The 20,723-nt window shown below is 42.3% G+C and overlaps 1 protein-coding gene across 1 annotated transcript, besides 9 other annotated features; it reads right to left on the minus strand.

The window, feature by feature from the left end:
• Nucleotides 13,590-18,774, minus strand: NR0B1 (nuclear receptor subfamily 0 group B member 1). The gene is made up of 2 exons (NM_000475.5): nucleotides 17,580-18,774; nucleotides 13,590-14,207 (listed from the first exon to the last, which is right to left on the minus strand). Exons 1-2 carry the CDS (start codon nucleotides 18,745-18,747, stop codon nucleotides 13,963-13,965), a joined length of 1,413 nt encoding a protein of 470 aa, NP_000466.2. The 5' UTR covers nucleotides 18,748-18,774; the 3' UTR covers nucleotides 13,590-13,962.
• Nucleotides 17,983-18,483: an enhancer, noted in NCBI's record as "H3K4me1 hESC enhancer chrX:30326716-30327216 (GRCh37/hg19 assembly coordinates)". NCBI's record gives its function as "activates a minimal SCP1, AML or CMV promoter by ChIP-STARR-seq in naive H9 embryonic stem cells {active_cell/tissue: H9 hESC(naive)}" and the evidence as "EXISTENCE:reporter gene assay evidence [ECO:0000049][PMID:30033119]".
• Nucleotides 18,748-19,067: a promoter, noted in NCBI's record as "-290 to +30". NCBI's record gives its function as "core promoter" and the evidence as "EXISTENCE:reporter gene assay evidence [ECO:0000049][PMID:9232190]".
• Nucleotides 18,748-20,330: a promoter, noted in NCBI's record as "-1550 to +30; fragment spanning EcoR1 to translation start site". NCBI's record gives the evidence for it as "EXISTENCE:reporter gene assay evidence [ECO:0000049][PMID:9232190]".
• Nucleotides 18,748-20,723: part of a biological region, named in NCBI's record as "NR0B1 5' regulatory region", that runs on past the window's edge. NCBI's record gives its function as "regulatory_interactions: NR0B1".
• Nucleotides 18,802-18,806: a TATA box. NCBI's record gives the evidence for it as "COORDINATES:motif similarity evidence [ECO:0000028][PMID:7677767]".
• Nucleotides 18,909-18,926: a protein binding site, noted in NCBI's record as "SF1-RE". NCBI's record gives its function as "positive regulation of transcription" and the evidence as "EXISTENCE:protein binding evidence [ECO:0000024][PMID:7677767]".
• Nucleotides 19,805-19,825: a protein binding site, noted in NCBI's record as "ARE". NCBI's record gives the evidence for it as "EXISTENCE:protein binding evidence [ECO:0000024][PMID:23846226]".
• Nucleotides 19,989-20,342: a transcriptional cis regulatory region, noted in NCBI's record as "-1595 to -1241". NCBI's record gives its function as "mediates positive regulation of transcription by EWS RNA binding protein 1" and the evidence as "EXISTENCE:reporter gene assay evidence [ECO:0000049][PMID:18591936]".
• Nucleotides 20,142-20,244: a microsatellite, noted in NCBI's record as "GGAA polymorphic tandem repeat region; repeat number correlates with transcriptional activity".

Here is a 20,723-nt window from a genome sequence, read left to right on the forward strand (position 1 = left end):
GAGACCATATTAGAAGGCAGTTCTGAAGAGGACAGGTGTGACTCGTGTCTGGGAACCCTCAGGAAGGAGGCACTATAAAGGATCTGGAGGCTTACTTGAAAGTAAAATGCCAATGGCTGACATCCCTGTGGCCACTGGGGCACAAAAGAGGGGATAAGGAGAGGTAGGTTTCTGTGGAGTACTGGGATCAGGACATGTTGCACTCTTGGGCTATTTTTCAAAGGCATCTTCCCTCCCTAGTATAACCCCACACCAAGAGTTTTCTATTCTACTTCTTATTTCTTTTAGACTTAATTTATTTTACCTTGAATATTAAAACACAAAATTTCAAAAAAATAAAAAGGCAGAACTAGCAGGTGGAGATCCTCTCTTAGGTAACTGGACTTTGACTGGGAGCTGAGGGGAATTACCACAGGGCCTCCTGGAGTGGAGGAAAACTGCCCCATATTGCCCACGGTGTCTTCTTGGACTGGAAGGAGGACATCTGAGAAAGCCTTAACCCCAGAGAGATTGCAGTCTTGAGCAGGTGAGGCTGAGGTCCCTGTTGAAAGGAAGCAAAGGTTTCCCACCTCTGACTGTTTTCAGCTTCTGCCCATCCGTGGCACTCTGAGGAAACTTGTAAAGCAATTTCACTGGGGTGCCTGGCAGCTGCCACTATTCTGAAAAGGAGCAGATGGCAGATTGTGTTGAAGAGTAATGGGGAATGATTCGTTACTTTACACCCCATCCAAACACTCCACATTCTAAGGAGGGAAATATTCCTGAGACAGGTGCTCCAAACATAAACATGGAGGCAGGTTACAAATTTTTTGATGTTTTTTAACTTTTCTTTCATGATTTTCCAGTGACAAAGTTATCTTTGGTCTGATTGTCAGAGTAATTCAAATGATAAATTGTATTTACCTTTGAAGACGTATAATCGGAGTTACCCTCCCTGTTCTCTTTTTATTAATGACAATAAAGCAATATGATATTAATATCTTCCTGATACATTAGTGAACAAACAAAAATTATAGAGGAAAGTATTTTTCTACTCATAGTACCTGCAATGTTATAAAACTTTAAAAAACAAAACTTAGAAAGTATTGTGGAGTAGAAGAAAATATTATCTTGGTTTGACAGATAAAATAGTTTCCTAGAGAAAAGATTATTTGAAATGGCCTAGAAAAGTATACACAATTTTTAACTATTAAATGGAATTTTGGGAAGACAACACCTCCATTATGAGAAAAGATTCAAAAGAAAGAGAGTTCTTGTTTAGAAAAGAATGTTTCTTTTCTTTTCAAACATTAAAATGAAGACAACTGCAACAAATGTCATGTGGTTGCAAATGTTTATTGATGTGTGTTTTGACTTTTTTTTTTTTATAAATGGGTTTATAGATCCCAAAGATGAGGCAGAATTTTTTCTGATGACTTGATGAGTTGTACATTTCCAGGGTTGGAGAAGAGACACCCTAAAATCCCTAAAAAACCACTGGAAGTCCTCCAATTTATATTTCAAATTGTTAAATGAAAATATCTTCACAATAAAGTGAGGGGGCGAGTGCAGGGTGCCAGCAGCAGAGAGACAAATTTACTTCACCTTTGTCACATCTATGTTTTGAGGGAGAGATATATTAACCAATGAAAGGCCTCTTCCAGGATTTTGCCCTTTCAGATTGGAGCAAATAGTCTAGCCTTGGGTATATTGATACATGCTAAGGAGGTGTTTGTTAAATAAATAAGTGTCCTCTATGGAAAGGAACTGATGATAGTGAAAAGGCTATCAACACACCATGGTCAAAAGTATTCCATCTAAATGGCCTGGCACTAAGATTTGTGTCTTTCACAGATTTGCCAGTAAACTGTTAACAAAGTGCACCTGCTGGTAAAACAAAACTGGTATAAAACAATTATCCAAATATTTTCAAACAAATAGTCATTTCAACAGTTTTTTCAGATTTATTCAACCACCTGCTTCACTTTTTCCCTGGCGATAGTAAGAAGCTGGCAAAAATTGGAGGTTCACTACTGGGGGAAAAATAAAGAATAAGAAATTTAAAAGGAGAAATAATTTATATCTAGCCAAACCAAAGTCAAAATGCAATAGCTGAGGATTCTTGTTTAGGTGTAAAGCATCACTATGTGGAGTACTTCGGAGTGAACCATCTCTACACCCATCAGATCTTAAGCTCCTTGATGGCCCATTATTTTGTACATTGTAGGGACAATGTACAAAGGATTTCATTTCAATCCTTATTTGGATTGAATTGAATGTTACTTGTGTTAATTACTTGCTGACCTAGAAGCTCTAGCCTGAACTTGCACAATCCCTACCAAAATGTATTAGGATACATTTTGAGGACGTTAATGTCTGGTATAAATGATTAACAATCTGGGATTCAGTTTTATCACTTGTTACAATTTGTTTATATTTTTGGTACTATGAAGTTTTCTAACTAAAAGACTTCATGCGAACTATCAGCAGATGAGTTTACCAGGCTGCCTTACTTGCATCTTTAATTTCCATAAAATCAAAAAAGAAAAAAAACAAGTTTATAGGGGTCCTTCCAGTACACCATGACTCAAGTTTCCTAGTACCATCTAATTTGTAACTTTACCTTTCTCTGACATCAACATCTTGATGGAATTAAAGACTAACGTTTTTCATAATTTAACTTGCCATCAGGATGCAATGAAACCAGAGCAGAAAAACAAATACACGGTGGCTTCAGAACAGGAAGCTTTGTACATAACTCAAAGGAACTCAAGCAAAGAGAATGTAATTGCATGCTGAAATCAAAATGATTATTGATCTACAAATCCTTACCTATATACAAAAAGAAAAAAATATTTTGAGGACAAAGGACACCCAATCTACCCAATTGTAACTTACTGGCCTTTTGTTGTCATGTGAATTAATTGATGAATAAGGAAAAGGCCCCTTTGGTTTTCTGTGCACCTGTGTGTGTGTATTCTTAGTGACTGATTTTAATTCAAATCATTATTCAATATAGTTTCAGATATCATAGGCTGAAAATTAATAGCCCTGTTTTCAGCTTCTTCCTAGTAAGAAATTCAGCCATTGCTTTTACCATTCATTAAAGTTTACTGATATTAAATAAGATTTTTAAAAAGTAAAACTTAATTTATGTACATAGAAGTGCAACCTGGCATATCATAGATCCTGCTTCAATTTCTATTTCCTAGAACACTTCTGATATGGTTTGGCTCTGTGTCCCTACCCAAATCTCATCTTGAATTGTACTCCCATAATTCGCATGTATTGTGGGAGGGTCCTGGTGGGAGATAATTGAATCATGGGGGCTGTTTCCCCCACACTGTTCTCATGGTAGTGAATAAGTCTCTTGAGAAATGATGGTTTTATCAGGGGTTTCTGCTTTTGCATCTTCCTCACTCTCTCTTTGCCTGCTGCCATCTATGTAAGACATGACTTGCTCCTCCTTGCCATCTGCCATGATTGTGAAGCTTCCCCAGCCACATGGAACTGTAAGTCCAATTAAACCTGTTTATTTTGTAAATTGTCCAGTCTTGGATATGTCTTTATCAGCACCATGAAAACGGACTAATACAGTAAATTGGTACCAGTAGCGTGGGGTGCTGCTGAGAAGATACCTGAAAATGTGGAAGCAACTTTGGAACTGGGTAACAGGCAGAGGTTGGAACAGTTTGGAGGGCTCAGAAGATAGGAAAATGTGGGAAAGTTTGAAACTTCCTAGAAACTTGTTGAATGGCTTTGCCCAAAATGCTGATAATGATATGGACAATAAGATCCAGGCTGAGGTGGTCTCAGATGGAGATGAGGAACTTGTTGGGAACTGGAGCAAAGGTGACTCTTGTTATGTTTTAGCAAAGAGACTGGTGGCATTTTGCCCCACCCTAGAGATTTGTGGAACTTTGAACTTGAGAGAGATCATTTAGGGTATCTGGTGGAATAAATTTCTAAGCAGCAAAGCATTCAAGAGGTGGCTTGGGTTCTGTTAAAAGCATTCAGTTTTAAAAGGGAAACAGAGCACAAAAGTTTGAAAAATTTGCAGCCTGACATTGCAATAGAAAAGAAAATCCCATTTTCTGAGGAGAAATTCAAGCCAGCTGCAGAAATTTGCATAAGTAACTAGGAGCCAAATTGTAATCCCCAAGACAATGGGGAAAATGTCTCCAGGGCATGTCAGAGGTCTTCACAGCAGCCCCTCCCATCACAGGCCTGGAGGCCTAGGAGGAAAAAGTTGTTTTGTGGGCCAGGGCCAGGCCCAGGGTCCCTGAGCTGTGTGCAGCTTATAGACTTGCTGCCCTGTGCCCCAGTTGCTCCCACCATGGCTGAAAGGGGGCCGATGTAGAACTTGGGCCGTGGCTTCAGATGGTGCAAGCCCCAGGCCTCAGCAGCTTCCATGTGGTGTTGAGCCTGCAGGTGCAGAAAAGTCAAGAATTGAGGTTTGGGAACCTCCACCTAGATTTCAGAAGATGTATGGAAGTGCCTGGATTTCCAGACAGAAGTTTGCTACAGGGGCAGGGCTCTCATGAAGAACCTCTGCTAGGGCACTGCAGAAGGGACATGTGGGGTTGGAGCCCCCACACAGAGTCCCTACTGGAGCACCACCTAGTGGAGCTGTAAGAAGAAGGCCATCATCCTCCAGACCCCAGAATGGTACATCCACCAAGGGCTTGCACCTTGCATATGGAAAAACCTCAGACACTCAACGCCAGCCTGTAAAAGCAGCTAGGACAGAGGCTGTACCCTGCAAAGTCACAGGGGCAGAGCTGCCCAAGACCATGGGAACCCACCTCTTGCATCGCGTGACCTGGATGTGAGACCTGGAGTAAAAGGAGATCACTTTAGAGCTTTAAAATTTGACTGCCCATTTGAATTTTGGACTTGCACAGGCCCTGTAGCCCCTTTGTTTTGGCCAATTTCTCCCACTTGGAATGGTTGTATTTACCCTATGTCTGTACCCCCATTGTATCTAGGAAATAATTAGTTTGCTTTTGATTTTACAGGCTCATAAGCAGAAGGGATTTGCCTTGTCTCAGATGAGACTTTGGGCTGTGGATTTTTGAGTTGATGCTGAAATGAGTTAAGACTTTGGGGGACTGTTGGGAAGGCATGATTGGTTTTAAAATGTGAAGACATAAGATTTGGCAGGGGCCAGGGGTGGAATGATATGGTTTGGCTCTGTGTCTCCACCCAAATTTCACCTTGAATTTTACTCCCATAATTCCCATATGTTGTGGGAGTGACCTGGTGGGAGATAATTGAATCATGGGGGCAGTTCCCCCATATTGTTCTCATGGTAGTGAATAAGTCTCATGAGATCTGATGGCTTTATAAGGGGTTTCTGCTTTTGCATCTTCCTCTCTCTCTGCTTGCTGCCATCTATGTAAGATGTGACTTGCTTTTCCTTACCATCCACCATGATTGTGAGGCTTCCCCAGCCACGTGGAAATGTCAGTCCAATTAAACCTCTTTATTTTGTAAATTGCCCCCCAACTCGGTTTTGTCTTTATCAACAGTGTGAAAATGGGCTAATACAACTTCATTAGCCTTGTTCATAAGACATTTTGGTGCATCTTATCTAGAATAAACTTCTCTATAATTGCTCACTGTATCAGCCAGGATTTAGTTAGAACACAGAAATAACACTAGTAATTTGAATATAGAAGACGAAGATAAAGAATTAATCACCAATAAACATACGTAAGTACTAAAAGGTGTGAAAGAAAACTCTAAGGGGCCCAGAGATAGCAGGTTTTAAAACAAATAGCCACAATATCTAGGCTGAAGAGAGTTGACAATGTAAGAACAATAACTTAGCAGAGGATCCCCTCAAGATGGAGGTTCAGATCTCTTTAAAGAGAGCAGGAACAGGCAGCTTCCAGGAGCAAAGACACTTGCCAGAGGGCACAGATCATAGCTGGTGGGCCCGCAAGTAGGGAGAATATGACGTGAGAGTGTGGCTGGCTGGAGCTGATGCATGAGGGCCAGTAGGCTCAGGTGCTGCTTTATAAGAAAAGAGAACAAAAACCTGAAGGGAAAGTGCCTTCCTGCTGCTATTACCTTGCAGTTTCACTCAAGCTCTTACTTTAGTTGAAGCATTATGCCAAATGGCAAAGCAGAAATGTTTACAGAGTGTCCGACTGATATCACAAAGAAAGGCAAATAATAAAAGAAAGATATAGGGCTGAGAGTCAAGAAATAAGCAGTTGGCACACTCATATATATGATTAACCTATCTTAGGTGCCCAAGTTTTTTTTTTTTTAATGTAATGGCCAATATACGTTTTCTTTTATCCTCTAAATCAAGGCTAAAAAACTTGCATGATCCTAAAAGCCCAGAAGATTACCCAAATGAGTAAAACAGTATAGATATAAGACAATAAGGAGTGGGATGAATCATGGTGAAGCAGAGGCAACAAGCCTGACCTCTTAAAAGTGATCCAATTCATAGATATATGTCTGCAGGCTGTATGGGGAGCCAGTTCACAACTGATGCATGGAAACCCAATAATACTGTGCTCATAATTATAAAACTAGATAATGAAGCTGTCTACAAACCAGAGGATTTTATTTCGTTGTGTGGCTTTTGGGGGTTTTTTGTTTTGTTTTGTTTTTGGTATGGCCAGTGAAAACTATCATTCTCAAGTTAGCTATGGAACCACAGATTAAATTACTCATCCAGTAGGTTGGAAAGGATTTATCATTTATCATTTTACTGTTTAAATGTCTCCTGTGAGTCTTCTGGATAAATAATTCATAGTATTTAACTAGATATATGTGCGGGTAGGTTTTTAGCTAATTGAAAGTAATCATGTTTATTTTGTGTCAGAAACAAAGGAAGTAAAGGAAGCAAGGTTTCTTGTATTTTAATATTCTACATGTTATGCCTAATTTGAATTAGGATACATTTCCACATTGGCAATTCCCTTGTTTATGATTTAAACAGCAATGACAATAGTAGCATCAGACTCTATTACAATTACTTTGTGGCGGTAAGAAAAGAAATAACCACTTAAAGCATTGTAATTACATCAATGTTATTAAATCTTCTACGTGTGTTTTTAAAGGTCAAAATTCGAACATTAATTACCTTTCTGCACTGAAGCATGAAATGGCTTCAAAGTCCTTAGCTAAACAAGGATTGTGACTAAATTAGTGAGGGTGAAAACTAGACCTGAGAGCAACTACAAAAAGATTTGGCTATAAAGAATAGAAGTTATGTTTTATAGAACCATATGTTTAGTATTCTCAAACTGGACTTTATTTCATGTGACTTTATTTTTCTTTTGAATGAAGGTAATTTGTTCAATATATAACTAAATGTATTTTACATTTTATATCTTCATAAGACTGTTCATATGTGTACAAAACTGAAACTGTCTTTGTAAAACCTTTGGTTCCAGTTTCTGATTTGGAAAATATCTTCATTGTAAGTATATAATAGCAATACCACGTTTATCCGCAGTTGAAAAACAAAAGTAGTCTTAGATATCTAGATTTAAAAATGAAGTACATTAGATGTATTCTACAAAGTGTCACAAATGTACTTACTCCTATTTAACTTTTGCAGTTCAGTTGTAACACAGAGTGGTATGGTAGGAACTCAGAGGCTCTTATCACACAAGACTACTTTCAAACTCTAGCCATGCCTTATGCTACTGATGGGAAATATACCCAACTGCTGAGCCCAGATTTTCTTATCTGGGAAGACAATATTTACCTTGTAGAGCTAGGATCAAGATTAAAAGATATACTCCATGAAAACCACTCAAAACAGTGCTTGGCACAATAAACATTAGCTTTTTAATTTGAAATACACCATGATTTTTTACTTGAATACACCATGGGTTTTTAGATCTATGTATTAGGAGTAAAACAATGTAATAATGTAGACTATTTTAGGTAAATCAGACACTTTTATTTTATTTTATTTTATTTTATTTTATTTGAGACAGGGTCTTGTTCTGTCACCTAGGCTGGAGTGCAGTGGCATGATCTCAACTCACTGCAACCTCCGCCTCCCGGGTTCAAGTGATTCTCCTGCCTCAGACTCCCGAGTAGCTGGGACTATGGGTGCCCGCCACCACGCCTGGCTAATTTTTGCATTATTAGTAAAGATGGGGTTTCACCATGTTGGCCAGGCTGGTCTCGAACTCCCGACCTCAAGTGATCCGTCTGCCTCAGCCTCCCAAAGTGTTGGGATTAAGGTGTGAGCCACTGCGCCTGGCCACTTATTTTATATTACAACAAATTTGTTTCCTTTTCCATTTATTTCAACCCCCACCCTCTGCTAGTTGCTACCTTCCATTTTGTTCTACTTATTTTTATATTTTGTTTTCTGTAGACCACCTGCATCTTTTTCTAATCACTTCAAATATTCTTAAAGTATCTGTGGGAACTTTTGGTCTTTGTATTAGTCTGTTTTCATATTGCTATAAAGAAATACCTGAGACTGGGTAATTTATAAAGGAAAGAGGTTTAATTGACTCACATTTCTGCGTGCTGGGGAGGCCTCAGAAAACTTACAATCATAGCGGAAGGGGAAGCAAACACATCCTTCTTCACGAGGCAGCAGGAGAGAGAACTGCAGCGAGAGGCGGAAGAGCCCCTTCTAAAACCATTGGATCTCATGAGAACTCTTACTCACAAGAACAGCATGGGGGGACAACCCCCATGATTCAATCACCTCCCACGAGGTCCCTCCCCCAACACGTGGGGATTACAATTCTAGTTATAATTCAAGATGAGATTTGGGTGGGAACACAGAGCCAGACCATATAAGTCTTCCACTCCAAAACTGAACATATGTTTTCATGGAGGAAACTTTCTGACCTAAAACATCAGGTTCATGGTTGGACATCACTGTTTATTCATACAGAGGTCCATTGACTATGACTATAATGGAAAAAACAAGTCTAATTCAGCACTATTGATCAGTAAGAAGTCTATATAACTACATAGGCAAACATATGGTCAACTCTCAGATATTATTACTTGAAAAGACTAACTGGTGGTGTCTTTCGCTCATACACGCAACTTATTGACTGATTGTGACAATGCCTAAGTGTACAATTTTAAAGAATGTTTAAATGGCTTCAGAGCACTATCTCACTCACCTTCATTTTAGTGGCTGTATTTCACATACATCGTCTAAGTGCAAGATGAAAATGATGCAAGAACCATCATGTTTGCATGACTCTTAATCCCTCATCAAGTGAATAAAATGATTCGAAGTTGAAACGGGAGAGGACATTTTTACATTATGAATGTAGGTAACACAACACAGTAGTATTGGCAGTACCTGCGCAGGAAAGAGTTAACATAGTAGGTCTGAGACTGCTATCCTTAGAATGGCCTGCTCGGAAGGTTAGTTTTTGGCTGGCATCTGGGAACTTCAATTCTGAGAGTGTTCTCAATGTTCCCTAACTCATAGGGGCGAATCACTCTGCCTGGACAGTTTGTGCAAACAACATAGCTCACACTGAGCACGTACTTCCTTTTTGTGTGTTTGGAATTTCGGAACATGCTAGGTGGAGGGTACCTATGTGACCAGCTCTCAATAAAAGCCCTAAGCATGGAATCTAAAAAGGGTTTCCCTGAGCAGAAATAATCACACACATGTTGCTGAGTTTTTATTGCTGGGAAAAAAGTATATCCTGTGTGACCCCTCATGGGAAGAAGAGACCATAAAGTGGCCTGCATATGGATTTCTCCACCAGTGTCTCTTCTCTGTATGACCCAGCCATATACCCTTACTATATCGCAGTAATGTACAACTGTGAGTACAAGTACCTGTGGAGTGCTGTGAGACCTTTTAGCAAATATCTGAATGAGAGGGTGGTCTTGGGAACAACGACACAATGGTGGCAGTGGTGGGATTTGCTAGAATGACCGCAATTCACTGAAATGTAGCTACAGCATTATGTGGGGAAAAGAAAGAGAGAGGGGCAGGGAATTATGAAACCCTGGTACCTGAGTGGCTATGGCATTAACCATAATACGAAACAGCAGCTGAGCAGCTGTCTGTGATCAGAGGTAAAAAGTTACCTATGGAAATCGGAAATAATAGATTCATCCCGGGAGAGTTGGCTCTCTGGATACCCTAGGTGCTTTTGATCATACAGAGTTGGCTCTGCTGAAGTAAGGGGGGTGGGGGAGGGTAGGAAATAGTAGCATAGCCTAGGCAATGATAGCTTTATTTTTTGTAGTCTCTCCGCCTCCCTAACACCCTCGCAGGAGGAGAAAGGGCCCAAACATTCTGCACAATGGGCTTTGGATGTGCCAAATATCATAAAATATAGTTTGTAGTTGTTCTTTCCTCCAAGTAGAGAGAAAAAAAAGAATTAAGTCTGTTTCCAGGGCTGGAGCAAGGATTTAGATAAAGCAGAGGGGAGAGAGAGAGAGAGAAAGAGAGAAAGAGAGAAAGAAAGAAAGGAAGGAAGGAGGGAGAGAGGAAGTAAGGAAAGAAAGAAAGAGGGAGGGAGGGAAGGAAGGAAGGAAAGAAGGAAGGAAAGAAGAAAAGAGAGAGAGAGAAAGGAAGGAAGGAAGGACGGGAAGAAAGAAAGAAAAAGAAAGAAAGAAGGAAAGAAAGAAAAAAGAAAGAAAGAGAAAGAAGAAAGAAAGAAAAGAAAGGGAGAAAGGGAGGAAGGGAGGAAAGGAGGGAGAAAAGGAAGAAGGGAGGGAGGGAGGGAGGGAGGGAGGGAGGAAGGGAGGGAGGGAGGGAGGGAGGAAGGGAGGGAGGGAGGGAGGGAAACCCACTGTAGCTATTTCTTCAGCCTAGCTGCTGCTGCTCCCCTCCCTTTCTCTTCCATCCCAGCTGGGTTCTCCTGGCAGCTGTGATGTGAACCCTGTAAATGGAAAATTTACTGCTAGGGATTTTAGTAAACTTGTAATGAGAAAAAAACAGGAATTTTAATTCACAGCTTTGCATTTGTGGCTATTGCATGTGGATGTATGATGAAAACTGATGTGCAATGTTATGTGCCTATAATTTCATAAATGCTAGAAGGGTCATCTCAATCAGGAAAAGCTGCAAAGAAAAAGTGTTAATGAAACACAGCTCCCTTGCTTTTTTGCCACAGGCGGGTGGATTGGAATTTATACTCTTGGTATTGGAAACAAGGCTCAGTAATGGATGATTTTTTTTTTTTTGCCATAATTTTGCCTACTGGAGACTCTGGAAAAGGGAGCCAATCTCCAAATGAAGACACACTTCTGGGGTTTTCAAAGCAGGTTTCGGGGGTTAGGGAGTTGTGCGGTTTTGTTTGTTTTTGCCAATAAGCTCTTGTGAAATCAGATTTCTGACCCTTAGAGGCTGATGATTTTCTAGCCTGACATGCATATTTTTGCAAGGGTCAATTTGAACAATCTGGCCTAACAGGGTAAAAAAGTCCTTAGGAACAGCCTTGCCTGTTACTTGGACTTGAAACACAGGTATCTGGCCTACAGCGTCTTAGCTTTGCTGCCGCTGCTGAAGAAAAGCCTCTAACTTTTTTGAATACTGAATTCACAGATCCTAATTCCCTGGACCTGAATGAAACCTGATACTGCCGGCTACAGGCTATTTCAATTTCAGCACTGAGCTGTGCTGAACTGCAAGTCGGCACAGGCTCAACGAACAGAACTCAGTCTCTGGAACTGCCACAAATTTAAGACATCCCTGTGGGGTCACAGCTATAAAACATCATGGATGCTAGCTGACCATCTGGGTCACCTGCAGATGCCCTAGAGAAAAAGGCTTGTTCTCTGATGGGACCATTAGAAATGGAGCTGCTGATGGACTCGATATTTCTGATACGGGATACAAGAGCCTGATTGCATTCCTAACTTTTGATTCTAGCCAAAGGCTGCAATTTAGGGAAGGGCACACCACAGGGTATGTGACCCCTCTGCCCACCCCTGATAGATCAGACTCTCAGGGATGTCTCAAGGCTGTTGACTTGTGTTCCACTTTCCAGGTTAGTTGCAGTTTGCAACAGTGGACCGATAGCCTGACTTTACTTCCCTTGCCTTTCTCCTGTTGTACACAACTTGGTAAGGCAGTTTGATCATCCAATGCAGCTGTCCTCAGAAAAGGACTGATTTTTGCTAGGTGTTCACTAAATAAATGATCATGGAAAAAGGCTTGGGGCGGGGGGTACGTAAACCCATTTTGAAAAAATATTGAAAATCAGGATTTTGCCCTGACCAGTTCCTGTGTCTTTCTGGTTAAGTTGTATTAAAACGTTACTCTGTGAAAATGCCTCTGTCCCTCTTACACACAATCCTTCCAGAAGGTCTAGGTGAAAAGAGAAGTGATTAGGAAAAATTACATGAAGTTAGGATTATTGAATGGGGCACATTGATTTTGTAACAGTCAAGAAAAACAACCCTGACACCTGGGAAGGCTCGGGGAGGAAGTAGGGCATTAATGATTTTTGCTTTTTGGAACTGCTTCTGGAAGCTTTCCCCTCTTTTCGAAGAAAACTCTTGTGCTGCTTTTGCAAGTGCTGCAGGCGCTTTGGACTCAGACCAAGGGCTGAGCCTAGATGGCACGTGACAGCGTGACTATGAGCTGGCAGCAGAGGGCCAGCTTCTACTGCATGTCCCCGCAGAACATGTCCAGATGCCATCTACACTCACCAGGCAGATGAAGTAGTGTCACTGACAGACTATTTGAGACTGACAGCCCCAGGCAGCCCCTCTAAAACCAGGGGCTGAACTGAATTACTTTCACTGGACTGAATACCTTGGGGAAGGAGGCACCTCGGTGGGAGGCCGCACTGGGGGCTGCCTAACCAATGCATATCCTGCTGGGGTGCCCTAACATTTTTAACTCTTTGTTTCTAGGGGACCACATGAGCCCTCGGGGATTGTGTGTGTGTGTGTGTGTGTGTGCTGTGACTATCATGACGCTTGCTTCCGCCCTACTGCATTCCTCTGAGAGCCTGATTTTGAGAAAATGTCCATAGGATTCAATAGACTGCCAAAGGGATCTGCACGAAAGAAAGTTTAAGACTTCCTGCAATGGGTTATTACCCTAGACTAGATACACTCATTAATAACAGGCAATTTATTGCCCATAAACAAATAGACATATAGTAGCCTTGATTTTATCTGGACACAAAGAAAAATTAGTTCTATGGATTATAATTAAAGGGGCAGCAGGAGATAACAATAAAGTTGCTTTATGATTTCATGCCATGTTGTTCAATATACCAGTTACAAACGTAATGTATCTAAAAGATGAAGTGTAATTAGTGGTTTTATAATGATGTTGAGCTTTCTGGAACTATAACCCCTCATTATAGAATGTATGTTCCTTGTGGATCTTTAAATCCATAACTGTGTACCAAAAAGATCCCCCAATAAAACAGAAAATCTCCTCTTTCACTTCTGCATGTCTTTATAATTACAGATTGCTTCTTGACTCCAGTTGGATGCAAACGCAGTCTTCCATACAGCTGAGGGAAGTGGAAATGAAGATAGAGCAAAGTGACCTCCCACTGATACTGGCACATAATTACATTCAATGTCATGTTGTTACTTCCAAAGATACTTTTTGCTTATGTTGGCTAGGTTTTAATAGTTTTTGAGGCCTTACTTAAACCCTGCTGAAGCTTTTTTCAATCAAGTTAATAGTTAAGACCTTAAAATTTATTATAACAATATGTACAAATTTGATTTGAGCAGGTTCCATGAAATTGCTACACTTGTGAAAATAGCTTATTATACTAGTACCCTGCTATTTTTTTTTTAAAAGATGTACAGAGCTATGCTACCTGTTGGCAAATGTCTTCTTTAACTATGGAACAGAGAAATTTGTGACTGTCTGGAATAAAATTATTTCTTTAATTGAATACAAAAATACTCTGCATGTAAAAATATTAAGAAAGTTTATTTTAAAATATTTTACACTCTTTTGCCCACAGCTCTTTATTCTTCCCTCATGGTGAACTGCACTACTGCACTTGTGTGGCCCACATGACTTTATATCTTTGTACAGAGCATTTCCAGCATCATATCATCCATGCTGACTGTGCCGATGATGGGCCTGAAGAACAGTTCAGCAATGACATTGGCATTGATGAATCTCAGCAGGAAAAGGGTACTATTAAGTTCGATGAATCTGTCATGGGGCCCTTGGTGCGTCATCCTGGTGTGTTCACTGAGTATTTGCTGAGTTCCCCACTGGAGTCCCTGAATGTACTTCACGCACTGCAGGCCCGGCACGTCTGGAGGGAGAAAAATCTCTTTGTTATAAAACAGCTCACCACAGAGTCCTTTGCTAGCTTTTTAAAAATAGCCATTTCTGTTTCATCCCAATTAAACAAGACCCAAAGCTTCCCGGTTAAAAGGGTAAAAGGCCAAACCAGTCTACGTTTTCAGAAGCAACGTGTCCAAGAATGAAACATCATGTGATCTTACTTAATATTTACTATGTTTCTATGCACACGTTTGCAAATACACTGGCCATGAGCCAACAAACGCACACAATTTAATATGACAGTAGAATACGGTTTAATGAATCATCACTCCAGTTCACTTTCTATGCAAATATGAAGAAGTTCATGATATTTCAAGAGGTGGGCACTTTACCTATGAGAAACAAGCCATGATAAACAAGAAGTGTTGCCATGAGACAAATGTTTTTACCATTCTTCTTTGAACTTTCCATCATTACACTGATCGTTCAGCCAATGGTGGTAAACTTCACAGCCACAAACTTTGACGCACAGTTTCATTTTACCTATTTGCCTGCAGGCCAATATTAGTCTAGAGGCCCGAATAATTTGAAAGCTAACACTGGCCACTTAGCTCATTGCACCATGATTTCTGTATTGGGGAAGATTTTGAAAAAAATAAAAGAATGATTCTAATGAGTGTTCAAAAAGGCTCTTTTCAAAAATATTAAAGTAAGAAGTTTTTGAAAATTCTTATAGTCATTAAAAGTTTAAAAAGTAAACATGAAAACATCACGAATTGTACCATGATTCAAGAATAACTTTTGTAATAGAAAACACATGACCTTTTGCAGTATAGTGTGATACCGAAGTAAAAGTGAAAGAAATAAATGCAGGAAAGTTTAAGTGGATGTAAGTTTTTATAAGGAAAGTAATAAGAGGAGGCTGCTTTTGAAGGTCCTTTGATCTTCCATGATGATAATATCGTTGCAAAGTTCTTTAACTTGTATTCAAGTAATTAGCAGTTGACCACTTGGTTTAAATGATGTTAATGATGATTGCAATCATTTTCCTTCCCTTTTCCTAAAAAATTCAACAGAAAAGTATTTTAAAAGCACCATGCCAATCATCACAGAGCAGCAGAACCAGTGTTCTTTAAAAAAATAATAATGGTAATAAGCGAGAGGCACTCCTATTATGGGCGAATATCAAATCTCATAAATAAGAACAAAAATAAAGCAACCATTTTAATCCATATTCCAGTTCTGATTACTCTAGTCCACACATTATCATCCCCTTCTATCTACAGCTTGAGATCCAGGCTTAAGACCCAATTTTGTTGTGTTTGAATTCCATCGATGAAAGTAGGAAGAGGCTTGCATGAAACTCCACCAGAAATCTGAAGCTTCTCTAGGTCTAGATTCATGGCTTGTGAAAACTTCATCTTGTGTATGCCACATTACTTTTCTCTGTGTTCACAATATACCCCTCCACCTTCTCCCCACCCAAGTGGTTCCCCCCCACACAGAGACACACAAACTGGCCTTCAAAATAAGGTCAGGGAAGAGAAAATGCAAATGGACTCCACAGTTTTATATCTCCTTAAGTTTGAACCTATATATATAATGTATTTAAATTTATATATGGGACATACAAAGGATAAACAGCAAAGAGAGGCCACACTCTTAATAGGCATTACCTTTCTCCCAAATATAGGTACATTTGTGTTTCAAACACACTCAGCTTAGCTGGTTAAACTCATATTGAGAGAGGATTAGGAAAAGTCAATCAAGAATAAGGAAGAATGTGTGTGTGTGTGTGTGTGTGTGTGTGTGTGTGTGTGTTAAAAGTATATAAAACAGAGTCAAGGGAAACTGTTGATACTGAAACTAATGGAATGTAAATTTCTGGAAGCTGAGCCCCTCTCACCTTTATATCCCAACAGGACGAGGAACATAGTGGATGATTAGTAACACTGGCTGAAGGAATAAGAAGACTGTTTTCCAAATAATCTTAAGAATCATCTGCGACACTTATTATGAATGCAGATTTGCAGACCCTGGGCCAGAGCTACTGAATCAGAATATATAAGGCAGGAGCCTAGAAAGACTTTTATCTACTCCCTCCCACCCCCAACCACACACACACAAGTACTTCTTATGCACAGGCAAGTTTGGAAAACAATGGTATAAGCAAAAAGGTAACATATAATAGACACTGGGGTGAGCTGAGGTCTCTACGTCATGAAACGTGAGGTTTGAACAAATTATTATCCCACCAAATACTGATCTATGCACCCTCAAAAATGCTAGGCAGGGGGCAGGGACTTAATCAGAGATTCCAGCACCAGGGAAAAAAGATACAAAAGGAGCATTATAAAAACTATCCCAACTCAAGTTGCCTGGAAAATTTTGTTCCCACTTCAATCATTTTGAAAGGACGCTGGTTGAAGATGATTCTAATAGTGAGAAACACCCAAGACAAGGTGCCTGGCTGTCCAGGGAGACGTTCCTCCAGTGATTTGGTTGCACTCTGTGGGACAGTGTGTCCAGCACCCAACAGACAACCTGAAAGTTTAGTGCAGCCAATATCCCACTGGGCCCAGAAGACAGGACCCTCAGGTGCCACAACACACCAACCATTTACTTGGGACCTTGGGACACATCTACCTACTCAGTAAAATGGGGTGGGGGGAGGCTACAGAGCAAAGGGGGTTGATTAGCAGGTCTCTAAAGTCTCTTTGAATTCTAAAATACAGTGCTCCTGCTCTCAGTCCCTAATGTGTCTTTTTTCCCTATCCCTTTGCCAACCTGATATTATTCACAGAGATTTGGAGGAAGGGATAGTCCAGATGCTTAGGACCATACAAATAACCATTCAGAGGCAGGCCCATGAAACACTACATCTAGTGTCTTGTGTGTCCCTAGGGAATAGTCTCTCTATGGGACCCTTTAACAAATGTTTCCTTTTTTGCTAGCCTTAATAGATTTCCTCCCCCCAAAAAAGGTTCTAGTAAATTTCAGAATGGGGTTTCAGAAATCGATGTTGCAGAATCTTCAGTGAGCAAAAACTTTTTTTAGAAAAAGATATGCTCTGGACTTAAAAGAAAGCTAAAGAAGAAAGAATAACCATTTCCCATGAAGGCACAAACTTTTCTATGGTAAGAAATGTGTAGAGAGCCAAGTACAAACCTAAACAAACAACTCCCCTCCTCTTGGCTGAGTTTCTGATAGCAGCCCACCCAGCAGAAGTGGTTCCTGGAGCTCCCCACCCCAACTCTGCTGAGTTAGTCACGATTTCTTCACCTTTGCCCCGACACTCTCCTGATCACTGAAAACTCGTTACTGCCCGCGCCCCTAGATAGGCACTGCCCGATGCTTTTGTGAGCTGGGAAAAGCCGGCGCCTAAGGCCAGTACCCTTACCCGGGTTAAAGAGCACGGTCCCCTTGAGGTAGGCGTACTCCTTGGTACTGATGTTCAGACTCCAGCATTTGGAAAGAAAGCACTTGATGGCTTGGACCTGGGAGGCGGAGGGCACCTTCCTGGCCTCCGCCGGCGGTGCCAAATGGTGCTGCAGCGTGGGCACGGGCAGTGGCTCGTTGCCCCCGGTCTCCCGCCGCCTGGTGGTGAGGATCTTCTGCAGCATGCTGGGCTCCGAGACTTCCACAGTCTCGAACTGCAAGCGGTCCTGGGCCAGCTCAAGCATGAGCAGGGACGCCCAGCAGTTGCGCACCAGCACCAGCTGCTGGTCCAGGGGCAGCACCTGGAAGCAGGGCAAGTACTTGACGAAGCGCAGCGTCTTCAACAGGCCCGCTGAGGCTGCCTCGCAGACCACCTGTGGACTCTTGAGCGCCACCGGCCGCAGCGCACCAGAGGAGGTGTCCCACCAGGGGGCCCTCGGCCGCTCCTCCGGAGCCGCCTGCGCTTGATTTGTGCTCGTGGGCACGCAGTAGAGGGTGCTGCCCTGCTGCGGGTGGTCTTCACCGCAAAAGCAGCAGCGGTACAGAAGCGCCGTGGCCCGCCCGCCTGGTAGCGCCTCTTTACCCCCTGGCCTCTGCGCGAAGTAGGAGCGGTCCCACCACGCGCCCCCTGGCCGTGCCTCGGGCGCTGCCGGAGCCACGTGCGTTTGCTTTGAGCTAGTGAGCAAGCTGTAGAGGATGCTGCCCTGCCGCGGGTGGTCTTCACCACAAAAGCAGCAGCGGTACAGGAGTGCCACGGGCCGCCCACCCGGAAGCCCCGCTCTGCCCACCCCGGGATCAGAGCCGCACGAACAGCCCCAGCACGGACCCAGCGTCGCCTCGGGCGCCTTCGGTGCCGCGTACGTTTGCTTTGCGCTCGTCAGCATGCTGTAGAGGATGCTGCCCTGCCGTGGGTGGTCTTTACCGCAAAAGCAGCAGCGGTACAGGAGCGCCACGTTCCGCCCGCCCAGCAGCCCCTCTCTGCCCACCCCGGGCTCATCGCCGCACGAACAGCCCCAGCACTGATCCACCAGCCGCGTCTCTGGAGCCTCAGGAGCCGCGCGCGTTTGCTTCGCGCTCATAAGCATGTTGTAGAGGATGCTGCCCTGCCACTGGTGGTTCTCGCCCGCCATGGCCCGCGGCGCCCGTAGCCCAGTTCTGCCCAGTGGCTGCCTCCTGGGACCTATTTATACCTAGCGCGCACGCAGGCGCGTCGGCCGCCTCGGTCTGGGCAAGGGCGCGGAGGCGGGCGGTGTGTGCGGGGGGGCGCGGTGCTGCGCTCCGGTGTGTTCGCCCATGACCTCGGTGGTTCGAAGGGGCGGGTGCTCTTTAAAAGCTGGAAATGGAAGAACAGCAGCGTGGGAGCTCCTGGACACTTTCCTCCTTCCTCTCATTACCCCTTTCCCTGTCTCAGGAAGACCGGAGGAGAGCGAGCGCCTGGATGCTGTTGCAACTCTTTCCATTGAACCCTCGCATCTAATTTGTTCCCTTTATTGGGAGGGCAGGGGAAAAGAGGAAACATCTACTTCTATGCTCTTTGTAAACTTTCATTAAATTATCACAGTTTGTGTGACTTATATTTGTATATGGATAGGGAGGTCTCATTTTCTGAGACCTTGAAAAATACAGAACATAGACAAGCATCATATGGGAACTCGGTGGAAATGCCCAATCTCAGGCTCCAACCAGACTTTCTAACTCTGAATCTGCATTTTAACGGTGTCCCCAGGGATTCACATGCACCTAGACGTTTGAAAAGCACTGCTCTAAATATGCTATCATAAGCGCTCAGTTTAATGCCATCAGTATTTATAAGCGCCCACTATGTCCTGGATGCTGTGTTAAGAGAGCTGGGGGCAGCGAGCAGGATGTAAAAGTGCCTAAAACTTAGGAATATAATAATTACGAGGGGATAATATTGTTACAGTGAGAATTGTTTTCATTTTAGTATATATTTTTTTTTCTTTTAACTTTTAGGTTCAGGAGTACATGTGCGGGTTTGTTATATAAGTGAATTGCTTGTCGTGGGGGTTTGGTGTACAGATTATTTCATCACCCAGGTAATAGTATCCAATAGGTATTTTTTCTCATTCTCTCCCTCTTCCCACCCTCCACCTTCAAGTAGGTTCCAGTGTCTGTTGTTCCCCTCCTAGTGTCCAGGTGATCTCTTTATTTAGCTCCCACTTGCAAGTGAGAACATGTGATATTTGGTTTTCTGTTCCTGCATTACTTTGCTAAGCATGATGGCCGCCAGCTCTCATTCTTTTTCATGGCCGCAGTGAGAAATTTTGATCCTTGTAAAAGTATTCCATTGGTAAGTGTGTAATTAGTATTTCTTTTCCCACCCTTCCTAAGTGAATAATGATAAATAGAAGCATCAGGAAGCCTGGATCCATTAGTCTTCACTTGCCACACAGCTGTGAAGACATGGGGCAGGGAAGGGTGTTGGTATATACCAGCTGATACAGAATCATTTTTACTTTTTCCCTCCCTCCCATCCTCCCTCTTTCTTTTTTTGCTGTTTCTTTTCCTTCCTTCCTTCCTTCCTTCCTTCCTTCCTTCCTTCCTTCCTTTCCTTCCTTCCTTCCTTCCTTCCTTCCTTTCCTTCCTTCCTTCCTTCCTTCCTTCCTCCCTCCCTCCCTCCCTCCCTCCCTCTCTCACTCCTTCTCTCTCTCTCTTTCTTTCTCTTTTTCTTCTTCTCCAGGACCTGGAATTCTCAGCATAAGAGGAAAACCTAGGAGACCCCCATTTTGCTTGCAGCGTTAAATTTCATTCTGCCTGTGAGAGGCCCTAAATAGCACAGTGGTTAAATCCCTGGAACTAGCACTAGATTGCCTCAGTTTTAATCCTGGCCCTGCCACTTTGTAGCATCATAACCTTGGGCAATGTGTTAGTTTCTTTGTCGCTGCTTTACTTACCACAAATGTAGTGGCTTAAGTCAACACAAACAACACGAATTTTTTATGTTATAATTCTGGAAGCCAGAAGTCTGAAATCAGTTTCACTGAGCTAAAGTCAAGGTGACATTTCTTCTGGAAGTTCTAGGACAGAATCTATTTCCTTGCTTATTCTAGCTTCTTGAAGCTGCCTAAGCTCCTTAATATCTGAT

Source organism: Homo sapiens, chromosome X (assembly GCF_000001405.40).
Source record: "Homo sapiens chromosome X, GRCh38.p14 Primary Assembly".
Taxonomy (NCBI): domain Eukaryota; kingdom Metazoa; phylum Chordata; class Mammalia; order Primates; family Hominidae; genus Homo; species Homo sapiens.